This window comes from Homo sapiens, chromosome 10 (assembly GCF_000001405.40).
Source record: "Homo sapiens chromosome 10, GRCh38.p14 Primary Assembly".
In the NCBI taxonomy this organism is placed as follows: Eukaryota; Metazoa; Chordata; class Mammalia; order Primates; family Hominidae; genus Homo; species Homo sapiens.
The window spans coordinates 21,872,955-21,897,480 of NC_000010.11; the positions used below are offsets into that span (position 1 = coordinate 21,872,955).

The following is a 24,526-nucleotide window of genomic DNA, read 5'->3' on the forward strand; positions in this document are numbered from 1 at the left end:
TGCCCTGGGCCTGGTAGTTAAAGAACGACCCCTGACCTAACCGGTTATGTTATCTATAGATGCCAGACATTGTATGGAAAAGCACTGTGAAAATCTCTGTCCTGTTCTGTTCCGTTCTAATAACCGGTGCACGCATCCCCCAGTCACGTACCCCCTGCTTGCTCAATAGATCACGACCCTCTCACGTGGACCCCCTTAGAGTTGTAAGCCCTTAAAAGGGACAGGAATTACTCCCTTGGGGAGCTCGGATTTTGGAGACGTGAGCCCGCCAATGCTCCCAGCTAAATAAAGCCCTCTCCTTCTACAACTTGGTGTCTGAGGGGTTCTTGCCTGCGGCTCATCCTGCTACAGACCCATATTAAGAAACATCATAATCAAACCATCAAAGCTAAAGACAGGAGAATACTGAATGCCCCAAAGAAGTAACTCATGATTTTGAGAAATCTTCAATAAGATTAACAGCTGATTTCTAATCAGAAACGATGAAGGCCAGCAGGTAATAGCTTATGTAATCAAAAGTGGTGAAAAAAAATTCTACCAAGAATTAATATATGTGGAAAAAACTATCCTTCAAAATGAAGGATAAATCAAGATATTCTCAGTAAAATAAAAAGTGAGAGAGTTCACTGCTAGCACACCTGCCCTACAACAAATGCGAAAGGGAGTCCTTAGGGATGAAATAAAATAACACTGGACAGTAACTCAACTCCCTATGGAAAAATAAATGCCAAGAAAGGTATAAACATAGGTAAGTGGAAAAGACACTATAAAGGCATTTTTGGCTTGTAATTCCTTTTCTTTTTAAAAACCTAATTCAAAAGACAACTGCATAAAGCAGTAACTACAAATCTAGGTTGATGAGAACATAATATCTAAAGATTTAATCTGTGACAATAATAAATAATAAGAACAGGCATAAAGGGCAGTGGAACAGGGGCAAAGTTTTTGTACTTTTTAAAATTTGCATTAATTCTAAGTAGACAGCTATGAATTAAGATGTTAATTGTAATCCCTAGAGAAACCACAAAACTATGTTCACACAGACTTGTATTAGAATGTTCACAGCAGCTGTAACATAGCCAAAAGACCCAGAATGTAATCAAATGTCATTAGCTGATTAACAAATAAATAGTATGTGACATATTCATACAATATTATTCAGCCACAAAAAGAAATGAAGGCCAGGCAAAGCAGCTCACTCTTGTAATCCCAGCAATTTGGGAGGCCGAAGAGGGAGGATCACTTGAGGCCAGGAGTTCAAGCCCAGCCTGGGCAACATAGTGAGATGCCGTCCAAACAAAAAAAATAAATTAGCCAAGCTTGGTGGCACACGTGTGTAGTCCTAGCTACTCAAGAGGCTGAGGTGAGAGGACTGCTTGAGTCCAGGAGATTTAAGTTGCAGTGAGCTATGATCATGATTATGCCACTGTGCTCCAGCAGCCTGGGCAACAGAGCAAACAGAGTAAGACCTGGTCTGTAAAAAAAAAAAAAAAGAGAGAGATGAGGTACAAAGTACTGCTATATGCTACACTACAAATAAGCCATGAGAACATTATGCCAAATTAAAGGAGCAAAATATAAAAGGCTACATATTGTATAATTTCAATTATATAAAGTGTCCAGAATAGACAAATCCAGAGACAGAAAGTTGGTTAGTGGTTGCCAGAAGAGGGGAGATCAGAGAATTGCTAACTGCTAATAGATATGGTTTTATTTTATTTTCTGATGATATGAAAATGTTCTAGCATCAGAGAGTGGTAATGGTTGCACAAGCTAAACAGACTAAAAACCACTGAAGTGTCTGTGCATTTTTAAATGCTGAATTTTATGTTCTGTCAAGTACATTTCAACAAAAATGTTATAAAAAGCCTATAGCACACATCATATTTAATAGTAACATGATAAAAGTTTTTTTGTTTTGTTTTTGTTTTTTTGTGTGTGTGTGTGATGGAGTCTTGCTCTGTCACCCAGGCTCAAGAGCAGTGGTGTGATCTTGGCTCACTACAACCTCTGCCTCCCGGGTTCAAGCGATTCTTTTGCCTCAGCATCCCAAGTAGCTGGGATTACAGGCACGTACCACCACACACGGCTATTTTTTGTGTTTGTAGTAGAGACGGCCTTTCACCATGTTGGCCAGGCTGGTCTTGAACTCCTGACCTCAGGTGATCCACCCACCTCAGCTTCCCAAAGTGCTGGGATTACAGGCTTCAGCCACCACGCCCAGCGAGAAAAGTTTTTTTTGAGACAGTGGAGTACAGTGATGTGATCAGAGCTCATTGCAGCCTCAAACTCCTGGACTCAAGAGATCCTCGTGCCCCAGCCTCCCAACTTGCTGAGACCACAGTTGTGCACCACCAAGCCTGGCTAATTCATTTATTTTTTGTAGAGATGCAGTCTTCCTAGGTTTCCCTGGCTGGTCTTGAAGTCCTGACCTCAAACAATCCTCCCACCTCAGCCTCCTGAAGTGTTAGGATTACAGGTGTAAGCCATCACAACCAGCCACAAGTTAAATAAACAATTTCAATGATGAAATAAAGATTTTCAGCAATGAAAGCTTTCTTTGAGATTGGGAATGAAACAAGGATACTTGTTATCATCACTTCTATTCTATATTGTATTGGAGATTCTAATCAACACAAATAAGAGAAAAATGTATAATATACAGAGAAACCATTAGAATTAAAAAATAAGCTAGGCGTGGTGGCTCACACCTGTAATCCCAACAGTTTGGGAGGCCGAGGCAGGCAGATCACTTGTGGTCAGGAGTTCAGACCAGCCTGGCCAACATGACGAAACCCCATCTCTACTACAAATACAAAAATTAGCTGGGTGTGGCAGCAGGCGTCTGTAATCCCAGCTATTCCAGGGGCTGAGGCAGGAGAATCACTTGAACCTGGGAGGCGGAGGTTGCAGCGAGGTGAGATCATGCTGTTGCACTTCAGCCTGGGTGACAGAGTGAGACTCTGTCTCAAATAAATAAATAAAATTTAACAAGGTTGTTAGACAAAAATCAGTTTTAATTCTATATACTAAATATAATTAGAAAGTGAAATTTGAGACACAATGCCACTTACAATAATCATCTAAAAACAAAAAATAAATGTAAGAAAAAATATCCCATATGTACAAAAAGCTGCAACACATTATTGAAAAAACGTTAATTTTTTTTTTTTTTTGAGACAGTCTTGCTCTGTCGCCTATGCTGGAGTGCAGTGGCATGATCTCTGCTCACTGCAACCTCCGATTCCTGGGTTCAAGAGATTCTCCTGCCTCAGGCTCCCGAGTAGCTGGGATCACAGGTGCGTGTCACCAGACCTGGCTAATTTTTGTATTTTTTGGTGGAGGTGGGGTTTCACCATGTTGCCCAGGCTGGTCTGGAACTCCTAACCCCAAGAGACCTGCCCACCTCAGCCTCCCAGAGTGCTGAGATTATAGGCATGAGCTACTGTGCCCAGCCTGAAAAAACTTTAAAAGATCTAAATTAATGGATCTATTTATGGGTTTTAGAGTCAATACAATTTGAATGTCAATTTCTCCACAACTGATCCATATATAATTGTTATCCCAATTAAATATCTCAGCTGAATAATTTGTGGAAAACAACAAGCTGCATTAAACATTTATATGAAAATGTAAAATGGCAATCTTAAAGAAGGAAAACAAAATTGGAAAATTACTGTACTAGATACCTATCATGAAGTTACAGTGATTAAGACCGTGTGGTAGTAGCACAAGGATGAACAAGTAGATAAATGGAACTAAGCAGAACATGTGGAAACAGACCTACACAGTTATGGACACTTGGATTATGATTAAACTGACCTTTGTAGAGCTGTAGGAAGCAATTTTTAAAATAATTTGTAGCAGGCCAAGGGTTTGGAGAACTTTTGGAACAAAACATTAATCTTGATCACTACTTAATGCCAAACAAACAAAACATTCCAGGATATTGTTAATTGAAATGTTTAAGTCAAATAATAAAGCTTCTAGAAGGATTTGAAAAATCTTTATAATTTTGAGATAGAAAAATATTTGTTTGTTCAGGTGTGGCGGCTCATGCTTGTAATCCTAACACTTTGGGAGGCTGAGGCAGGAGGATCACTTAAGCCCAGGAGGTTGGACCAGACTTGGCAGCACAGGGAGACCCAAACTCTAGAAAACATTTAAAAATTAGCCGGGTGTGGTGGTGTATGCTTGTGGTTTCAGGTACTCAGGAGGTTGAGGTGTGAGGATCACTTGAGCCTGGGAAATTGAGGCTGCAGGGAGCCGTGATTGCATCACTGTCCTTCAGCCTGAGTGACAGAGTGAGACCTTGTCTCCAAAAACAAAATACATATATATATACATATATATATATATTTGAACATAGAAAACACCAAATAAGGAAAAGGCAGACTGATTAATATAATTAGTAAGTTCTAGTCATCAAAAGACACCACTAAGAACAAAAAAAGGCCAAGCACAATGGGAGAAAATATGTGCAAAACACTCATTTCTGAAATACAGAAAGAACTCTTTATAATCCAGTCTTAAAAACAAAAAGGCAACACAATTAAAAAAGATTTGGAAAGGCACTTCACTTAGTAAGATATCAGTATCCAATAACCATAAGAAAAGGTGTTCAGTCTTATTCATCAAAGGATGCAAATTAGACCAAAATTAGGTATCACTGCATACTTACCAGAATGGATAAAATATAAAAGACTTGACCAAGCATTGGCAAAAATATAGAGTACCTGGAATATTCATATCCTGCTGCTAAAGTATAAATTGACACAAACTTTTGGAAAACAATTTAAAAGTACAGCTGACCCTTGAACAATATGGAGGTTGGGGCGCCAACCCCTGGTCAGTTGAAAACCTAAGTATAACTTTTGACTGCCCAAAAACTTTACTACTAACAGCCTACTGTTGACTGGAAGCTTTAATAATGCAGACAATAAGTTAACACATATTTTGCATGCTTATGTACTGCATTCTTACAATAAACTAGAGAAAACAAAATCTTAAGGAAAATACCTTTATAGTAATGTACTGTATTTATCAATACCCTAAGTTCACGTTGTTGTCTGTCTGAAATGGCAGCCAACAGCAGGTGCAGACCTCACTCTACTATACTTATAAAGCAATTCAATTTTTTCTTGTAATGTCATGACTTTCCTCTGGTTCTCGAGAACACTCCTAGCATCACTAGTGGTACTTTCCATAGGCCCAATGGTGTTATTCAAGGTTTACAGTATTTTACTAAACATGATAAAAAATACATGAGAACCCAGATAGATCACATTTTCTATGCTATGCAATTTACTGGAGAGACAAACTGCTCACACAGAGATGATTAGCATCATCGGGAGGTTTAAGCCAACACTTGCAACACATGAGCCTACTGCAACAGCAACGAGAGGTGTTTTAAATTATTATAGTAGTATAGTAGGTACACTGTGTGCTACAGTTGATTTTACACAGTTATGATTTAGTACTGCATCTTTACATTTGTTTATATTTCCCTCATCTGCAAATGGTGCCATGTACAGTAAGTAGTTGTGTATGTTTTGATAAGTTTTAACTTTTTATGATAGGTTTGTATATATTTTATGGTAGTAAATGATAAAATACACTAGTATCTACATACATTTTATGCATGACATACCTAACTTTTTCTTAATTTTTTCAGTATTTCTAGGCTACATGGTTTGAGATTTGAACAATTACCCAAAATCTTCTAAAATTTTTCCAAAATATTTTTTGGAAAAAATCCACATATAAGTGGACCTATGCAGTTTAAACCCATATTTTTCAAGGATCAACTGTATTTACTGAAGTTGAGCTCTGACCCTGCAACTAACTCCAAAAATTGAAATTTACACATATACATACTAAAAGGCATGCACAAGACTGTTCACAGAAAAATTATTCATTATAGCCCCAAACTGAAAACACCACATTTCTCCAACAAAAATAAATTGTGCTATATTTATAAAGTATTATACAGCAATGAAAATTACTGCTATATGCAATTATGAATAAATCTCACAAATACACTGAATAGAGGAAATCATACTCAAAGGACTACATAGGAAATGATGCTATTTATAAACTAACAAGCAGGTAAAACTACTCCGAAGTCAGGAATGTCATCATCTTTGTGGAAGAGAAGGAAATAGTGGCAGAAAGCATGGTTTCTGCACAATGGCAATGTTCTAGTCATTGAACTTGGCAATGGTTAACTTGCATCACCTGTGATAGTTCACTGAGCTGCATATCTATACATGCATACCTCAGAGATATTCCAAGTTCAGGTCCAGGCTACCACAATAAAGTTAATATTGTAATAAAATGAGCCACACAATTTTTTTTGTTTCCCAGTACATATAAAAGTTGTTTATAAGCCAGGCGCGTTAGCTCACACCTATAATCCCAGCACTTTAGGAGGCTGAGACAGGCGGATCACTTGAGGCCAAGAGTTTGAGACCAGCCTGGCCAACACGGTGAAACCCCATCTCTACCAAAAGTACAAAAATCAGCAGGGCGTGATTGCGCTTGCCTGTAATCCCAGCTACTCAGGAGGCTGAGACACAAGAATCGCTTGAACCCAGAAGGCAGAGGTTGCAGTGAGCCGAGATCATGCCACTGCACTCCAGCCTGGGCGACAGAGAGAGACTCTGTCTCAAAAAAATAATAATAATTTAAAAAAATGTTTAAAACTAAGTTTACATTGTAGCTTAGTTTATTAAGTGTGTGATAGCATTATGTCCAAAAAACAATGTACATAATTTAAAAATACTTTACCGCTAAAACGTATTAATAACCATCTGAGTCTTTCAACAAGTCATAATCTTTCTATTGGTAGAGGGTCTTGCATTCATGTTAGTGGCTGCTGACTCACTGGGGTGGTGGTTGGTAAAGGTTGGGGTGTCTGTGACAATTTCCTAAAATAAGACAACAATGAAGTTTGATGCATTAAGTCTTCCTTTCACAAAATATTTCTCTGTAGCATGTGATGCTGCTTGATAGCATTTTACCATCTCCAACCCTGCTAGTTCCTTTATCAGTGAAGCTTACAGAATATTCTCAATCCTTTGTTGTCATTTCAACAACTTTCACAGCATCTTCACCAGGAATAGATTCCATCTCAAGAACCACTTTCTTTGTTCACCCATAAGAAACAACTCCTTATCTCTTCAAGTTTGACCATGGGATTGCAGCAATTCAGTCACATCTTCAGGCTCCACTTCTAATTCTAGTTCTCTTGCTATTCACACCATATCAGCAGTTATTTCCTCCAATGAAATCTTGAACCCAAAGTCATCCATGAGGATTAGAATAAACTTCTTCTAATCTCCTGTTAATGTCAATATTTTGACCTCTTCCCATCAATCATGAATGTTTGTAATGGCATCTAGAATAGTAAATCCTTCCCAGAAAGTTTTCAATTTACTTTGCCCAGATCCATCAGAGGAATCACTCTCTATGGCACCTACAGCCTTATAAAATATATGTCTTAAATAATAAAACTTAAGTTGGAAGGGCTCCTTGATTCATGGGTTGCAGAATGGATGTTGTGGTATGGGCATATAGACAATGTTCATCTCCTTTCATATCTCCCTCAGAGCTCTTGGGTGACTAGGTACACTGTCAATCAGCAGTAATATTTTGAAAAAAATATTTTTTTACTGAGCAGTAAGTCTCCACATAGGGCTTCAGTAAACCATGCCGTAAACAGATGTGCTGTCATCCAGGCTTTATTGTTCCATTTATAGAGCACAGATAGAATGGATTTAGCATAATTCTTGAGTACCCTAGGATTTTCAGAATGATAAATGAGCACTGGCTTCAACTTAAAGTTACCAGCTGCATTATTCCCTGACGAGAAAGTAAGCCTGTCTTTTGAAGCTTTGAAGCCAGGCATCAACTTCTTCCCCTCTCTAGCCATGAAAGTCCTAGATGTTATCTTTTTCCAGCAGAAGGCTGTTTCATTTACATTGAAAATCTACTGGTTGGTGTAGCCACCTTCATCAATGATCTTGGCTAGATCCTCTGGATAACTTGCTGCAGCTTCTCCATAGCACTTGCTGCTGCACACTGTACTTTTATGTTATGGAGACAGCTGTTTTCCTTAAGCCTAATGAACCAACCTCTGCTAGCTTCCAACTTTTCTTCTGCAGCTTCCTCACTTCTCTTGGCCTTCTTAGAATGAAGAGAGAGAGGGCATTGCTCTGGATTAGGCTTTGGCTCAAGAGAATGTTGTGGCTGATTTGATCTTCTATCCAGACTACTCAAACTTTCTCCATATCAGCAATAAGGTTGTTTTGCTTGCTTACCTTTGATGTATTCACTGGAACAGCACTTTTAATTTCCTTCAAGAATGTGTCCTTTGCATTTTAAAATTTAGCTAACTGTTTGGTGCAAGAGGCCTAGCTTTTGGCCTATCTTGGCTTTCAACCATGCCTTCCGAACTAAGCTTAATCATTTTTATGTAAAGTGATACACATGCAACTCTTCCTTCTACTTGAACACTTGGAAGCCATGGTAGGGTTATTAATTGACCTAATTTCAATACTGCTGTGCCTTAGGGAGTAGGGAGACCAGAGGAGACGGAAAGAGACTAGAGGATGATTGATTAGTAGAGCAGCCAGAATATACATAATATTTACCAATTAAGTTTGCTGTCTTACATGTGTGCACTTCACGGTACCCCAAATAATTATAACAGTAACGTCAGAGGTCACTGATCACAGATGACCATACCAGATGTTATAGTAATGAAAAGTTTGAAATACCACAAGAATTACCAAAATGTTATATAGAGACACAAAGGAAGGAGATGCTTTTGGAAAAATGGTGCCCGTAAACTTGCTCAATTCAGGGCTGCCACAAACCCTCAATTTGTAAAAAAAAAAAAAAAAAAAAAAAAAACCGGCCAGGCACGGTGGCTCACACCTGTAATCCCAGCACTTTGGGAGGCCGAGGGGGGCAGATCATGAGGTCAGAAGATCAAAACCATCCTGGCTAACACGGTGAAACCCTGTCTCTACTAAAAACACAAAAAATTAGCCAGGCGTGGTGGTGGGCACCTGTAGTCCCAGCTACTTGGGAAGCTAAGGCAGGCGAATGGCATGAACCCGGGAAGCAGAGCTTGCAGTGAGCTGAGATTGCGCCACTGCACTCCAGCCTGGGTGACAGAGCGAGACTCTGTCTCAAACAAAACAAAACAATAGTATTTGTGAAGTGCAATAAAACAAAGCACTATATCGTGAGCTAACCCTGTATTTTATGTGCTTTTCTGTACATGTTTTACTCAAAACAAGTTTTATAAAGCTTATTTACCTGTTTTTTCTGTGTTCGGTTCCTGTTTTCCAACCAATCATCCATTTGTTCCTCAATTTCTTCTATGGAAGTTCCATGATCATAAGACTGAATATATGTAGTTTCTAAAGGTGTGTATACAGGAAATTCAGGTTTTGGTTTTTTAACTTTCTTCTGTTCTAAAAAATGTTTAAAAGAACCAATTATTGAGATTTTTAAAGAATAAAATTAATTTCTAACATTTTATTCATAGACCATATCCTGAAAGAAAACATCAAAATATAATTGTTCTGTTATAAATAATTGGCTATAACTTTTATTGTACATAAACCATTGCATTGTTTCTAAATAAAACTCAGAGTTGCTACTATTGTGGAGATGATCATGAGATAGCCATCATATCAATTTGCATACACCTTTGTTTTCAAAGTACTTTTCATAAAATATTTCATTTTGGCACAATAAAAAGAGCTTCAATTTAATATTGTAACCCTAACTTTACCATGTAATAAGTAAATAATACTGGGCAAATAAATTAACACTTAGAACAGTATCAACTTTCTCATCTATAAAAAAAACCTGGCTCTCACTAAATGGTATACATTTATTTTTCAATATTTTACAAAGGTGAAATATGATCTGGCAACATCAAGAGTAGTTATGAATCGATGGCCATCCATTGGGCTCTTTATTAAATCCCATTTTAGGCCTAGGAGCAGTGGTTCACGGCTCTAATCCCAGCATTTTGGGAGGCCAAGGCAGGTGCATCACTGGAGGCCAGGAGTTCGAGACCAGCCTGGGCAAAATGGCAAAACCCTTCTTCTACTAAAAATGCAAAAATTAGCTGCGTGTGGTGGTACATGCATGTAATCCCAACTACTTGGGAAGCTGAGGCATGAGACTCACTTGAGCCCAGGAGGTGGAGGGTGGGGTTAGCCAAGATCACACCACTGCATTCCAGCCTGGGTGACAGAGTGAGATTCTATCTCAAACACACACACACACACACACACACACACACACACACACACACACCATTTTAACTGGAGACTTGACATTGAGAAGCAACTCCATTCTTAATTACTATAGTCAAACTCAGCCTCATAAGAGTATTTTCACCACCCCATGTGTACGTGTGTATGTGTGTATTTGCATGTACTATACTGCCAATGTAACAAAATCAGTATATACTGGCATAGGAATAGACAAATTCCTAGAAGAGAATAGAGAATCTGTAAATACCAATGCTTGTTGACTTATTATGGGATTACATCCTGATAAACCTATCATATATTGAAAACATCCTTAATTAGAAAATGCATTTAATAAAACTAACTTCATGGCTTAGCCTAGTCTACCTTAAGTGTACTCAGAACATTTACATTAGCTTATAGTTGGGCAAAATAACATAGTGACACAGTACACTGTAGAGGATCAGTTTTAATCCTCATGATCATATGGCTAAGTGGAAGCTGCAGTTTGCTGCTGTTACCCAGCATTATGAGGGAGTATCCTACCGCATATTGCTAGTCCAGGAAAAGATTCCAAATTCAAAGTACAGTATTGTTTTTGCACTATCATAAAGTCAAAAAATTGTAAGTCAAATCATTATAAGTCTAGGATTGTCTATATTTCAATTTAGTGGGAAAACAATTTATTAAGTAATGCTTACACAACTGAGTATCCATTTAAAAGAAAACTCTTACACTGTATACACAAATAAATTCCAGATAGAGAAGAGAGTTGACTTTAAAAGCCAAAACAATAAAAATTTTGCAAAAAGAAATCTTAAAATCTACTTGTACTATTTAAAGGAAGGGGACATCTAAATAAGAATGAAAACCCAGATGCTGTTACAAAAAAGATAAAAGAGTAAACAAATCAAGAGACAAATAATAGATTTGGAAAGGATGTATCCAATTCAGAGTATAAACAGAAGATTGCTATAAACAGATTTTATAAATGGACAACCACCCAATAGAAAAATATAGGCAAAAGGTCATAAATGGGCAATCCACAATTGAGTGCCCACGTGGCTAACAAATAAGAAAAGAGGCTCATACACTCTAAAGGTTAAAGAAATACAAATTAAGTAATACCAAGATATAATTTTATACCAATCATATGGGTACAAATTTAAAATCTAATTCAGATGTACTGTTGGCAGGGAAAAGGCTACTTCTAAATTGGTGGAGGAAATGTATTATTCTATTAGAGCCTTTCTGGAAAGCAGTCTAAACATATCCATTAAAATTAACATATACAGCCTTTTCCCCAGCAATTCTCCCAGAAACAAAAGTACTCAAATATAACTGTATGTGGGTATGTATGTATTTGTGTGTGTATGACTATTTACTATTTCTTCATAGAGAGATGAAACTATTAACACAGTAAACACTATTAGGAGAAATGACTGAATAATTATTGATGATGCTTTTACAATGAGAAGTATGAAATCACCATTGAAGTAGAGCAATAGCAGAAGTAATTTGGGCTACATATAGAGAATCAGTTATTTTTTTAAAAAGCAAATAAATTCAATTGTTTGTATTTATTTCTGGGGTGTTTCATCACAACTGCAAGTGATGTCTTTTTAAATAAGCATTTATAAAGGGGCACTAAATACAGAAATGAAATACTGCTATAAGCTAATACAAAAATACACAGACCAGTGTCACTATAAATCAACCACACAAACAAGCCAACATTATAACCAGCTAACAATACAATGACAGGATCAAATCCACACATATCAATACTAACCCTGAATGTCAATGTGCTAAATGCCCCACTTAAAAGTCACAGAGTGGCAAGCTGGATAAAAAAACAAGACTCAATGGCATGCTGTCTTCAAGAGACCCATCTCACAAGTAACGATGCCCTTAGCCTCAAAATAAAGAAATGAAGGGAAAACTACCAAGCAAATGGAAAACAGAAAAAAGCAGGGGTTGCAATCCTAATTTAAAGATTAAAAAACACAAAAAAAGGGCAATACATAATGGCAAAGGGTTCAATTCAACAAGACTTAACTATCCTAAATATATATGCACCCAACACAGGAGGACCCAGATTCATAAAGCGAGTTCTTAGAGACCTAAAAAGAGACACAGACTCACCCACATTAATAGTTGAAGACTTCAACACTCCATTGACAGTATTAGACAGATCACTGAGGCAGAAAATTAACAAAGATATTCAGGACCCAAACTAAACAGTGAACCAAATGGATCTGATAGATCTCTACAGAACTTTCTACCCCCAAACAACAGAATATACATTCTTCTCCTTGCCACATGGCACATACTCTAAAATTGATCACATAATTGAACATTAAACTATCCTCAGCAAATGCAAAAGAACCAAAACCGTATTAAACACACTCTCAAACCACAGTGCAATAAAAACAGAAGACTAAGAAACTTGCTCAAAAGAATGCAATTACACGGAAATTAAATGACATACTCCTGAATGACTTTTAGATAAATCATGAAATAAAGGCAGAAATCAAGAAGTTCTTTGAAACTAATGAAAACAAAGATACAACATACCAGAATATCTGGGACACAGCTAAGGCAGTGTTAAGAGGGAAATTCATAGCGCTAAATGCCCACATCAAAAAGTCAGAAAGATCTCAAATTAACAACCTAACATCACAACGGAAAGAATTAGAGAAGCAAGAACAAATCAACTGCAAAGATAGCAGGAGACAAAACATAACCAAAATCAGAGCTGAAATGAAGGAGACAGAGACAAGAAAATCCATTCAAAAGATAAACAAATCCAAGAATGGATTTTAAAAAAAAATTTAACAAGATAGGTAAGCTACTAGCTAGGCTAATAGAGAGAAAACCCCAAAAACCACAATTAGAAATGATGAAGGGTGTCATCATTACCACTGACCCCACAGAAGTAAAAATAACCAACAGAAACTACTACAGAAACCTCTATGCACACAAACTAGAAAACCTAGAAGAGATGGATAAATTCCTGGACACATACACCCTCCTAAGACTGAACCAGAAAGAAATTGATTCCTTGAATAGACCAATAATGAGCTCCAAAATTGAATCAGTAATAAATTAGGCTCCCAACTAAAAAAAGGCCAGGACCTGATGGATTCACAGCTGAATTCTACCAGATGTACAAACAGCTGGTATCATTCCTACAGAAACAATTCCAAAAAACTGAGGAGGAAGGACTCCTCCCAAACTCATTCTATGAGGCCAGCATCATCCTGATACTAAAACCTGGCAGAGCCACAACAACAAAAAAACTTCAGTTCAACATCCTTGATTAACAGTGATGCAAAAATTACAAAATATTTGCAAACTGAATCCAGCAGCACATCAAAAAGCTAATCCACCTCAATCAAGTATTCTTCAACCCCAGGTAGCAAGGTTGGTACAACATAAGCAAATTAATAAATGTGATTCTTCACATAAACAGAACTAAAGACAAAAACTGCATGATTACCTGAATAGATACAGAAAAAGCTTTCAATAAAATTCAACACCCCTTTATGTTAAAAAAAACTCTCAATAAACTAGGTATTCCCTTTGAAAATTGGCACAAGACAAGGATGCCCTTTCTCACCACTTCTATTCAACACAGTATTGGAAGTCCTAGCTGAAGCAATTAGGCAAGAGAAAGAAATAAAGCACATTCAAATAAAAAGAGAGGAAGCCAAACTGTCCCTGTTTGCAATTGACATGATTCTATATCTAGAAAACCCCATAGTTTCGGCCCAAAGCTCCTTTAGCTGGTAAACATCTTCAGCAAAGTTTCAGGATACAAATCAATGTACAAAAATCACTAGCATTCCTATACTCCAACAACAGCCAAACCTAGAGTCAAATCAGAAAGGCAATCCTATTCACAACTGCCGCAAAAAGAATAAAATACCTAGGAATACAGCCAACCAGGGAGGTGAAAGAGTTCTATGACGAGAATTACAAAACTCAAATAAAGAAATCAGAGAAGACACAAACAAGTGGAAAAACATCCCATGCTCATGGATAGGAAGAATCAGTATCATTTAAATGGTCATATTGCTCAAAGTAATTTACAGATTCAATGCTATTCCTATCAAATTAACAACGACATTCTTCACAGAACTAGACAAAACTATTTTAAAATTCATATGAAATGAAAAAGAGCCTGAATAGCCAAGACAATCCTAAGCAAAAAAAACAAAACTGGAGGCATCACACTACCTTACTTCAAACAATACTACAGGGCTACATAACCAAAACAGCATGGTACTGGTACAAAAACAGGCACATAGACCAATGGAACAGAACAGAGAGCCCAGAAATAAGGCTGCACACCTATAACCATCTGACTTTTGACAAAGCTGATAAAAACAAGCAATAAGGAAAGGACTCCCTATTCAATAAGTGGTGCTGGAATAACTGGCTAGCCATATGCAGAAGATTGAAACTGGACCCCTTCTTTACACCATACACAAAAATCAACTAAAGATGGAGTAAATATTTAAACATAAAACCCAAAACTATAAAAAACCTGGAGGACAACACAGGCAATAGCAACCTGGATGTAGGAATGGGCCAAGATTTCATTACAAAGACACCAAAAGCAATTGAAACAAAAGCAAAAATTGACAACTGAGATTTAAACTTAAGAGCTTCTGCACAGCATAAAGAAACTATCGACAGAGTAAAAAGACAACCTACAGAATGGGAGAAAATTTTTGAAAACTCTGCATGTGACAAAGGTCTAATATCCAGGATCCATAAGGAACTTCAATAAATATACAAGAGAAAAACAAACAACCCCATTAAAAAGTGGGCAAATGACATAAACAGACACTTTTCAAAAGAAGACATCCATGCAGCCAATAAGCACATGAAAAAAAGCTCCATATCACTGATTATTAGAGTAATGCAAATCAAAACCACAATGAGATACCATCTCTATCCAGTCAGAATGACTATTACTAAAAGGTCAAAAAATAACAGATGATGCCAAGGTTATGGAGAAAAGGGAACACCTATACACTGTTGGTGGGAGTGAAAATTAGTTCAACCATTATGGAAGACAGTATGGTGATTCCTCAAAGAGCTAAAAGCAGAACTACTATTTAACCTAGCAATACCATTACTGAGTATATACTCAGAGGAGTGTAAATCATTCTACCGTAAAGACACATGCACACAGATGTTCAATGCAGCACTATTCACAATAGCAAAGACATGGAATCAACCTGAATGCCCATCAATTAGCAATTTGATAAAGAAAATATGGTACATATACATCATGGGATACTATGCAGCCATAAAATGTGGTACATATACACCATGGAATACTATGCAGCCATAAAAAGAATGAGATCATGTCTTTTGCAGGAACATGGATGGAGCTGGAGGCTGTTATCCTTAGCAAACTAAACCAAGAATAGAAAACCAAATACCATATGTTTTCACTTACAAGTGAGAGCTAAATTATGAGAACTTATGAGCACAAAGAAGGAAACAAAAGACACTGGGGTCTACTTGAGGTTGGAGGGTGGGAGGAGGGAGAGGAGTAGAAATGATAACTATTGGGTACTGGACTTAATATGTGGGTGATGAAATAATCTGTACAACAAGTCCCTGTGACATGAGTTTACCTATGTAAGCTTTTTTAAAGCTTATTTATTTTTCTAAACTTTTAGGTTCACATGTTCCCCTGAACCTGAAAGTTTAAAAAATACATAAATAAATAAGCTTTAAAAAAATCTTTTTTCAAAATGTATTAGTTCATTCTCACATTGCTATAAATAACTGAGACTGGGTAACTGATAAAGAAAAGAGGTTTAAGTGGCTCACAGCTCTGCGGGTTGTACAGGAAGTGTGAATGCTTCTGCCTCTGGGGAAGTCTCAGGAAACTTTCAATCACGGCAGAAGGCAAAGGGAGAACAGGTGTCTTACATGGCAGGGGCAGAAACGAGAGAGAGAGGGAGGAGCTGCTACACGCTTTTAAACAAGCAGATCTCATGAGAACTCACTGTCTCAAGAAGAGCACGAAGGGGATTTGCTAAACCATTCATGAGACATTGCCCCCATGATCAAATCACCTCCCACCAGACCCCACCTCCAATACTGGTGATTATATTTCAACATGAGATTTGGGTGGGAGCACAGATCCCAACCATATGAGATATTAATATAAAACTTCCATTTCAGAAAAAATGGAGAACTTTTCCACATTCCTCTCACTAAGAATTATAAAAAAGATAAAAGAGTAAACAAGTTATTTGTTTACTCATATCTTATAGTAACCATTATATATACAACAAACACAAGAAGAATTTGAAAGTTAAGAGAGAAGCCTGACCAGCTAGGTACTGCAGGACTCAAGAATACCCACAGTGGTCAGTTCTACGAGTTTTCTTTGTGTTTCTTATGTATCTCAGACTTGGTGCTGCAGAAACTAGCAACCCAGAAACACTAACAGGCACAGACACACACATACAGGCAAAACAAAAACAAAAGCCTGCTCTCTCTAGCTAAAGGGTCAAAAAAGAGACAGCATAGGCATTTATCTTTTGTCTAGAAGATAAAGCTTTTAGACAATAACCACTCTAATACAGGCAAACAAGACAGAAAGTAGTGTTACCCCCATCCCACCACCCAGCATAAGAGCAAAGACTAATGGGAAACCTAGGCTGCTGCCATTGCCAGCCTGTAATGAGGCACCCAACCTCCCCACCAGGGTGATGTGAGAGAGAAGGCTAAAAGGTAAGGCGGATCCTTCTCCTGCTAATAAAGTCAGTGGAGACTATATGGGTAGCCTGAACCTCCAGAACCACCCAGAAGTAATAGGTGTCTCTTCCTCTATCAGGCAGTGTGGTTACAGAGGAAGTCTAGTGGGCTGGTGTGATGGCTCACACCTGTAATCTCAGCACTTTGGGAGGCTGGGGGGGGGTGGATGACCTGAGGTCAGGAGTTCAAGACCAGCCTGGCCAACATGGTGAAACCCTGTCTCTACTAAAAATATGAAAATTAGCCAGGTATGGTGGTGTGTGCCTGTAATCCCAGCTACCGGGGAGGCTGAGGCAGGAGAATCGCTTGAACCTGCGAGGCAGAGGTTGCAGTGAGCCAAGATCACGCCACTGCACTCCAGCCTGGACGAAACAGTGAGACTCCATATCCCCCCCTACAAAAAAAAAAAAAAAAAAAGAAAGGAAGCCTACTGAAGAATCAGGGCTTTCACAACTGCCCAATGGTAACAAAGCCATCCCCATATAATGTCAGTGGAGATCAAGTGGGGTGCAGTAAGTAGGTATTCCTGCTCCTCCTTCCAGGCAGCGGTTTTCAGTGGAGGCCTAGAGGCAAGCAGGAATATCTATACCCACCTGAGAATCCACAAACGCTCCGTTCCTCATCTGTTAAACAGACCACATAGGAAACCTGGACTTCAATTCTACCTAGCAGTAACAGGCAGCACTACCCCTTCCATGGCTAGAGTACTGCCAGAGAAGACCAGCTAAAACAGAAGACTTAAATAAGGTCCAAAGTTTCATAATACCCCTAAATGTCCAAATTTAAATCAAAAATCAGTTGTTACACCAAGAACCAAGAATGCCTCAATTTGAATGACAAAAGGTAACAGATGCCAACAAGATAAAAGAGATATTTAAATTACTTGGCTGGGCATGGTGGCTCACACCTGTAATCCCAGCTCTTTGGGAGGCCAAGGTGGGCAGATCACCTGAGGTCAGGAGTTCGAGTCCAGCCTGGTCAACATGATGAAACCCTGTCTCTACTAAAAATACAAAATTAGCCAGCTGTGGTAGTGCATGCCTGTAATCCCAGCTACTCAGGAGGCTGAGGCAGGAGAATCGCTTGAACCCAGGAGGCGGAGGTTGCAGTGAGCCAAGACGGTACCATTGCATTCCAGCCTGGGCAACAGAGTGAGACTCCATCTCAAAAAAATAAATAAATAAAAAATTACTTGACTGTGTTATCAAAGCAGCCATGTCATAATGATATGACAAGCAATAATGAACACTCTTGAAACAAATAAAAAGTTTCAGCAAAAAAATAGAAGACATATAGAAGAACCAAATGGAAATGTCAGAATTGATGTGTACACTAACTGAAGTTAAAAACTTATTGGATGGGCTCAACAGCAGAATGAAGCAAACAGGGAAAAGAATCAGTGAATCTGAGGATAGAAAAACATAAAGTGCCCAATCTGAAAAACAAAGTAGACAAAAAAAAAAAAAAAAAAAGAAAAGAAAAAAAAAAGAACACCGCCCTGGGAAGTTTTGGGACTCTGAACAGCAACTTAAAAGCAGCAACAGAGAAACAAGACCTTATCTGTAGTAGAAGTACAATTCAAATGACAGTGTATTTCTCACCCCAAACCATAGAGGCCAGAAGGAAGTGGCACAGCACTTTTCAAATGCTGAAAGAAAGTAACTGTTATACCTGAAGTCAATATCCTGTGACAATATCTTACCGGCATGAAGGGGAAACCAAGACATCCTGAGATGAAGGAAAACTAAAATAATTCGTCACCAGTGGACCTATCCTGCAATAATGGCTAAAAGAAGCTCTATAAACAGAAAATAAATCATAAAAGAAAATATATTGGACAACAAGGAAAGAAGAAAGGACAAAAGAGTAAAAATATGAGTAAACGCAATAGACTTTCCTCCTGCTCTTGAGTTTTCTAATTATGTCTGACCACTAAATCAAAATTATAACCTTCAGTGTTATAAAGAAAATACTCAAGACAATGATACTATAAATAAAGAAGGTAAAGGGATTTAAGGGGAGGTAAGGTTTTTATATGTCACTTGAAATAGCAAAAATCTGACACCAGTAGACTGTGATGTTATGTATATATAACATACTTATTATACTCACTAAAAAGTGATACAAAGAAATATATTTAAAAAAACATTAAAAATAAATTCAAGTGGCATTCTAAAAAATGTTGAGCCACAGGGAGGCAGAAAGAAGAAAACAAAGAAATGATAATAAGAGAGAAAAAATAGGAAATAAAAAATACAATAGCAGACTTAAGCCCTAACATATCAATCACTATATTAAATGTAAATGGTTTAAATACACAAATTGTCTATTTAACACACACACACACACACACACACACGGTCTTTCATCTTTTTTACATATATATGCTATTTATAACAGAGAAATTCTATCTGTAATAGAGAAAAAAGAGAAATGATAGAGAGAAATAATAGAAAATAAAAAATAAAATGGCAAACTTAAGCCCTAACATATCAATCACTATATTAAATATAAACAGTTTAAATATACAAACCATTTAATACACACACACAAACATATAAACACATGGTTTTTCATCTTTTTTACATATATATATATATGCTATCTATAACAAACTCATTTCAAATATAACAATATGGGTAGACTGAAAGTAAAAGGATTGGAAAGATATACCATACAAACATTAATCAAAAGAAAGCAGCAGTAGTTATATTAATATCAGGTAAGGTAAAGTAGACTATAAAGCAAAAACAAATTACCAGGAATGAAGAGAGACATTATATAATGATAAAAAGATCCACCAAGATGGCATAGCAATCCTAAATGTGTGTGCACCAAACAACAGAGCTGCAAAACATGTGAAACAAAAACTGACGGAACTGGAGACAAATTTATAATTACAGTCAAAAAGTCCAATACCCCCTCTCAATAATTAATAGCATAACTAAATATATAAATAAGCAATGATATACAACTCAACAATGCCATCAGCCAACCGGATGTAACTGACATTTATAGAACACTCCAATTCACCACAGCAGAATACACATTCTTTTCAAATGTCCATGGAATATATGCCAAGATGGATCATATCTTGGGCCATAAAACAGACCTGAACAAACTTAAAGGAATTTAACTCATACAGAGTATGCTTCCTAATGAAAAGGGAATTAAACTATTAATGTTTAATAGAAATATAACAAAAACGTCTCTGAACATTTGGAAACGAAGCAATATACTTTTAAATAATCAATGGATCAAAGAGGAAATCTCAAGAAAAAAATACTGAGCTGAGTCAAATAAAAATATATCAAAATATGTGGCCAAGTGCAGTGGCTCACAGCTGTAATTCGAGCACTTTGGAAGGCCAAGGTGGGTGGATCACTTGAGGTCAGGAGTTCAAGACCAGCCTGGGCCAACATGGTAAAACCTTATCTCTACTAAAAACAAAAAAATTAGCCGGGCATGGTGGCAAGTGCTGTAATCCCAGCTACTCAGGAGGCTGAGGTGAGAGAATTGCTTGAACCCAGGGGGCGGAGGTTGCAGTGAGCCGAGATCACACCACTGCACTTCAGCCTGGGCCACAGAGTGAGACTCAGTTAAAAAAAATAATAATAAATAAAATCAAAATATATGAGACATAGCCAAAGCAGTGCTGAGAGGGAAATGTATAGCATTAAATGCTGACATTAGAAAAGAAAAAAAGCCTCAAATTAATAATCTAAACTTCCATGTCAAGAAATTATAAAAAGAAGACCAAAACAATCCAAAAGCAAGCAGAAGGAAGGAAGTAATAAAAATAAGAGCAGAAATCAATGAAATTGAAAACAAAAACCATAGAGAAAATCAATTAAACAAAGAACTGATCCTTTGAAAAGATCAACAACTGGCGAATCTGACAAAGGAAACAGAAGACAAAAGTTACCTATATTAAAAAGGAGAAATCACTACAGGGCATGTAGACATCAAAAGGATAAAAAACAAATATTAGGAACAACTCTAGATACATGTATTTGACAACTTAGATGAAAAAGACCAATTGCTCAAAAAACACAAACTATCTCAATTCACTCATGAAACAGATAAATGAAACATGAAATAGATATTTAAATAGCTCTATAACTATAAATCCAATTTAATTTGTTATTTTAATACTCCAAAGAAAGAAATATTCAGGCTCAGATGATCTCCCCACAGAATTCTGCCAAACATTTCAAGAATTAATACCAGTGTTAGACATTCTCTTTCAGAAAATAGAAGAGGAAGGCTGGGCACGACGGCTCACGTCTGTAATCCCAACACTTAGGGAGGCCAAGGCAAGTAGATCACTTCAGGTCACGAGTTCGAGACCAGCCTGGCCAACACGGTGAAACCTCATCTCTACTAAAAATACAAAAATTAGCCAGGTATGGTGGCAGGCACCTGTAATCCCACCTACTTGGGAGGCTAAGGCAAGAGAATCACTTGAACCTGGGAGGTGTAGATTGCAGTGAGCCAAGATTGCACGATTGCACTCCAGCCTGGGCAACAAGAGCAAAACTCTGTTTTTCAAAAGAAAAAGAAAACAGAAGAGGAGAGAAAGCTTCCTATTTCATTATATGAAGCTGGCATTACCAATACCAAGGTAACACAAAGATAATGCAAAAAGAGAAAGCTAATGCTATGAACGTTTGTGTCCCCTCCAAAATTCATGTAGAAACAGTCTGCACAGAGGTGGAGCCTTTGGAAAGTGATTATGTCATGAGGGCTCCTCCCTCATAAACAGGATTAAAGCCCTTACAAAAGAGGCTTCACACAGCATGCTGTCCCCTTTCTTCTATCTCTTCTGCCATGTGAGCACACAGCATTCATCTCCCCTAGAGGATGCAGCAACAAGGTGCCATCTTGGAAACAGAGACCAGGGCCTCATCAGATACTAAACTTGCTGGTATCTTGATCTTGGACTTCTCAGACTCCACAAGTGTGAGAAATAAATTTCTGTTGATCATAAATTACCCAGTCTCAGTTATTTTGTATAGCAGCACAAAATAAACTAAAATAGAAAGTAGTAGTGAGAACCGATGGTGCTACTATAACAAATACCTGAAAATGTAGAAGTGGCTTTGAAATTGGGTAATGGGTAGAAGCCAGAATAGCTTTGAAGTGCATGCTAAAGCATTAAGCATGTTTCCAGTGAGAGCTCTGCAGAAGAGGAGAGCTGTAGAGAAACCCTCAGTCATCTTAGAGATGATCTAAGTGGTTGTGATCAGAATGCTCGTAGAAATATGGACAGTAAAGGCCATTCTGATAAGGCGTTAGTTGGAAATGAGGAGCAGTTTATTGGAAACTGGAAGAAGGGCCACCCTTGCTGCAAAGTAGCAATGAACTTGGCTGAATTGTGTTTTGTGTCCTATTACTTTGTGGAAGGCAGAACTTAAGAGCAATGGGCTAGGTTATTTTGTGGATGACATCTCTAAGTAAATTGTTCAGGGTGCTTCATGGCTTCTCTTGACTACTTATAGTAAAATGCAAGAAGAGAGAAACAAATTAAATATAAAATTTGTAATTAAAAGGAAAGCAGAAGTTAAAGATTTAAAAAATTCTCAGCCTGGTCAGGTTTTAAAGTATGCTTGAGGGAGAATGCCAAGGGTGTCGCCAAGCAAACATTTGATAAGGAGATTTAATATGAATAGAAGGAAGACAGATGCTATTCATCAAGACAATGGAAGAATGACCGCAAAGGCATTTTGGAGATTATCTGTGCTGCCCTTCTCATAGCAGGCTCAGAGCACCAGGTCCTTGAGGGCAGAACAGTTTCAAAAAAGGGGCCCAAAACACTTGTGAAACCATGGGGCTTGTTGCTCAGGATGTCTTGTTTCTTTCCCACACATTCAGACACAATGTTCCTCAGTCACCTCAGGTACAGCTCATGCAGGCCACCACTTCAGGCCACCACTTCAGGGGGCACAAGCAGTAAACCTTGGTGGCATCCATGTGGTGCTAACTCTGCAGGTGCACAGAGTACGTGAGTTGTGGAGACATGTCTACCTAGATTTCAACAGATGCCTCATAGAGCCTTGGGGCCCAGGCAAGGAAATGCCACAAAGGTGGGGCTGCTAGAGACAGCCCCAACTAGGGAAATGCCCAGTGGAGCAATAGAAGTGGGGCCACCACTAAGACCTCAGAACTGCAGAGCCACCAGCATGCAACTTCAGCCTGGGAGAGCTTGCAGGCATGAGACTCCAGCCTGTGATAGCTGCTCTGTGGGCTGTGACCAACAAAATTATAGTGCTGGGGTTGCCCAGAGCCTTGGGGACCCAACCTCTACTCTCCTGTGTCTGGAAGATGAAACACGAAGTCAAAGTTGATTATTCTCAGGCCTCAAAAATTAATGGTGCTTGCCATATTGGGTTTTCAGCTTACTTGGGGACTGTTACCCCTTTATTCTTTCCTATTTCTCCCTCTTTGCATGAGAATATCAATTTTATGCCGGTCCCATCATTATAATGTGGAAGCATAGAAACTGTTTGATTTCACAGGTTCACAGGTAGAGGGGAATTGGCCTCAGAATGAATTGTACACCTTGAGTCTCACCCATATCTGATTTAGATTATATTTAGATAAGACTATAGACCTTAAACTTTAAAGTTGATGCTGGAATGAGTTACGGCTTTGGGGGCTATTGGTATTTAATTAATATGTTTTGTATGTGAGAAGGATATAAATTTTGGAAGGGGGGGGTTCAGAAGTGAAATGCTATGGTTTCAATGTTTGAGTCCTTCCAAAATTTATGTGGAAGCAACCTCCAATGCAATAGTATTAAGAGGAAAAGGCCACTGGGAGGTGATGAGGTCATGAGGGCTCTTCCCTCTTGAAAAAATTAAGACTCTTACAAAAGAGACTTCACACAGCATTCAACCCCTTTTCCCCTTCTGTTCCTTGTGAGGACATGTGTTTGTGCCCTCCGGAGGATGTGCAACAAGGTGCCATCTTGGAAGCAGACAGAAACCTTTGCCAGACACCAAACGTACTGATGCCCTGATCTTGGACTCCCCAGCATCAAGAAGAGAATTAAATTTCTGTTCATTATAAATTAGCCAGTCTCAGGTTATTTCCCAGGTATTTTGTTACAGCACAAATGGACACTGACAATTACAGACCAGTATCTCTCATGAATATAGATGTAAAATTCTTTAACAAAATAGTAGCAAATAGAATTCAGCAATAAGAATTATATACCATGTCCTCGTGGTGTTTACTCCAAGTATGCATAGCTGGTTCAATATTCAAAGTCCAATAATGTAATATATCGTATTAATACACCAAAAATGAAATATCACATAATCACAATTATTGATAGAGGAAAAAAAACACTTCACAAAATTCAACACCCCGTCATGATTTTAAAAAATGCTCAGAAAACTAGGAATAGAGGGAAACTTTATTAACTTCATGTACAGCAGGGGTCCTCAACACCC

General features: G+C 38.0%; 1 protein-coding gene across 4 annotated transcripts in view, besides 4 other annotated features; it reads right to left on the reverse strand.

Moving 5' to 3' along the window:
* The window catches only part of DNAJC1 (DnaJ heat shock protein family (Hsp40) member C1), a 247,183-nt gene that overhangs the window by 116,407 nt on the left and 106,250 nt on the right, over nucleotides 1-24,526 (reverse strand). For 2 of the 4 annotated variants that reach the window (NM_022365.4, XM_011519614.4), the window contains exon 8: nucleotides 9,328-9,485. In NM_022365.4, coding sequence (NP_071760.2) covers nucleotides 9,328-9,485 — 158 coding nt within the window. Of the gene's footprint in view, nucleotides 1-4,496; nucleotides 6,930-9,327; nucleotides 9,486-24,526 lie in introns of those variants that run through there. The other 2 variants (XM_047425628.1, XM_017016536.3) reach the window with 2 other exon arrangements.
* Nucleotides 15,932-16,132: a silencer, noted in NCBI's record as "peak902 fragment used in MPRA reporter construct". NCBI's record gives its function as "represses an SCP1 promoter by STARR-seq MPRAs in K562 erythroleukemia cells {active_cell/tissue: K562}" and the evidence as "EXISTENCE:reporter gene assay evidence [ECO:0000049][PMID:32103011]".
* Nucleotides 15,932-16,150: a biological region, named in NCBI's record as "MPRA-validated peak902 silencer".
* Nucleotides 16,091-16,150: a silencer, noted in NCBI's record as "silent region_2198". NCBI's record gives its function as "represses an Ori minimal core promoter by ATAC-STARR-seq in GM12878 lymphoblastoid cells {active_cell/tissue: GM12878}" and the evidence as "EXISTENCE:reporter gene assay evidence [ECO:0000049][PMID:35858748]".
* Nucleotides 21,722-21,891: an enhancer, noted in NCBI's record as "active region_3123". NCBI's record gives its function as "activates an Ori minimal core promoter by ATAC-STARR-seq in GM12878 lymphoblastoid cells {active_cell/tissue: GM12878}" and the evidence as "EXISTENCE:reporter gene assay evidence [ECO:0000049][PMID:35858748]".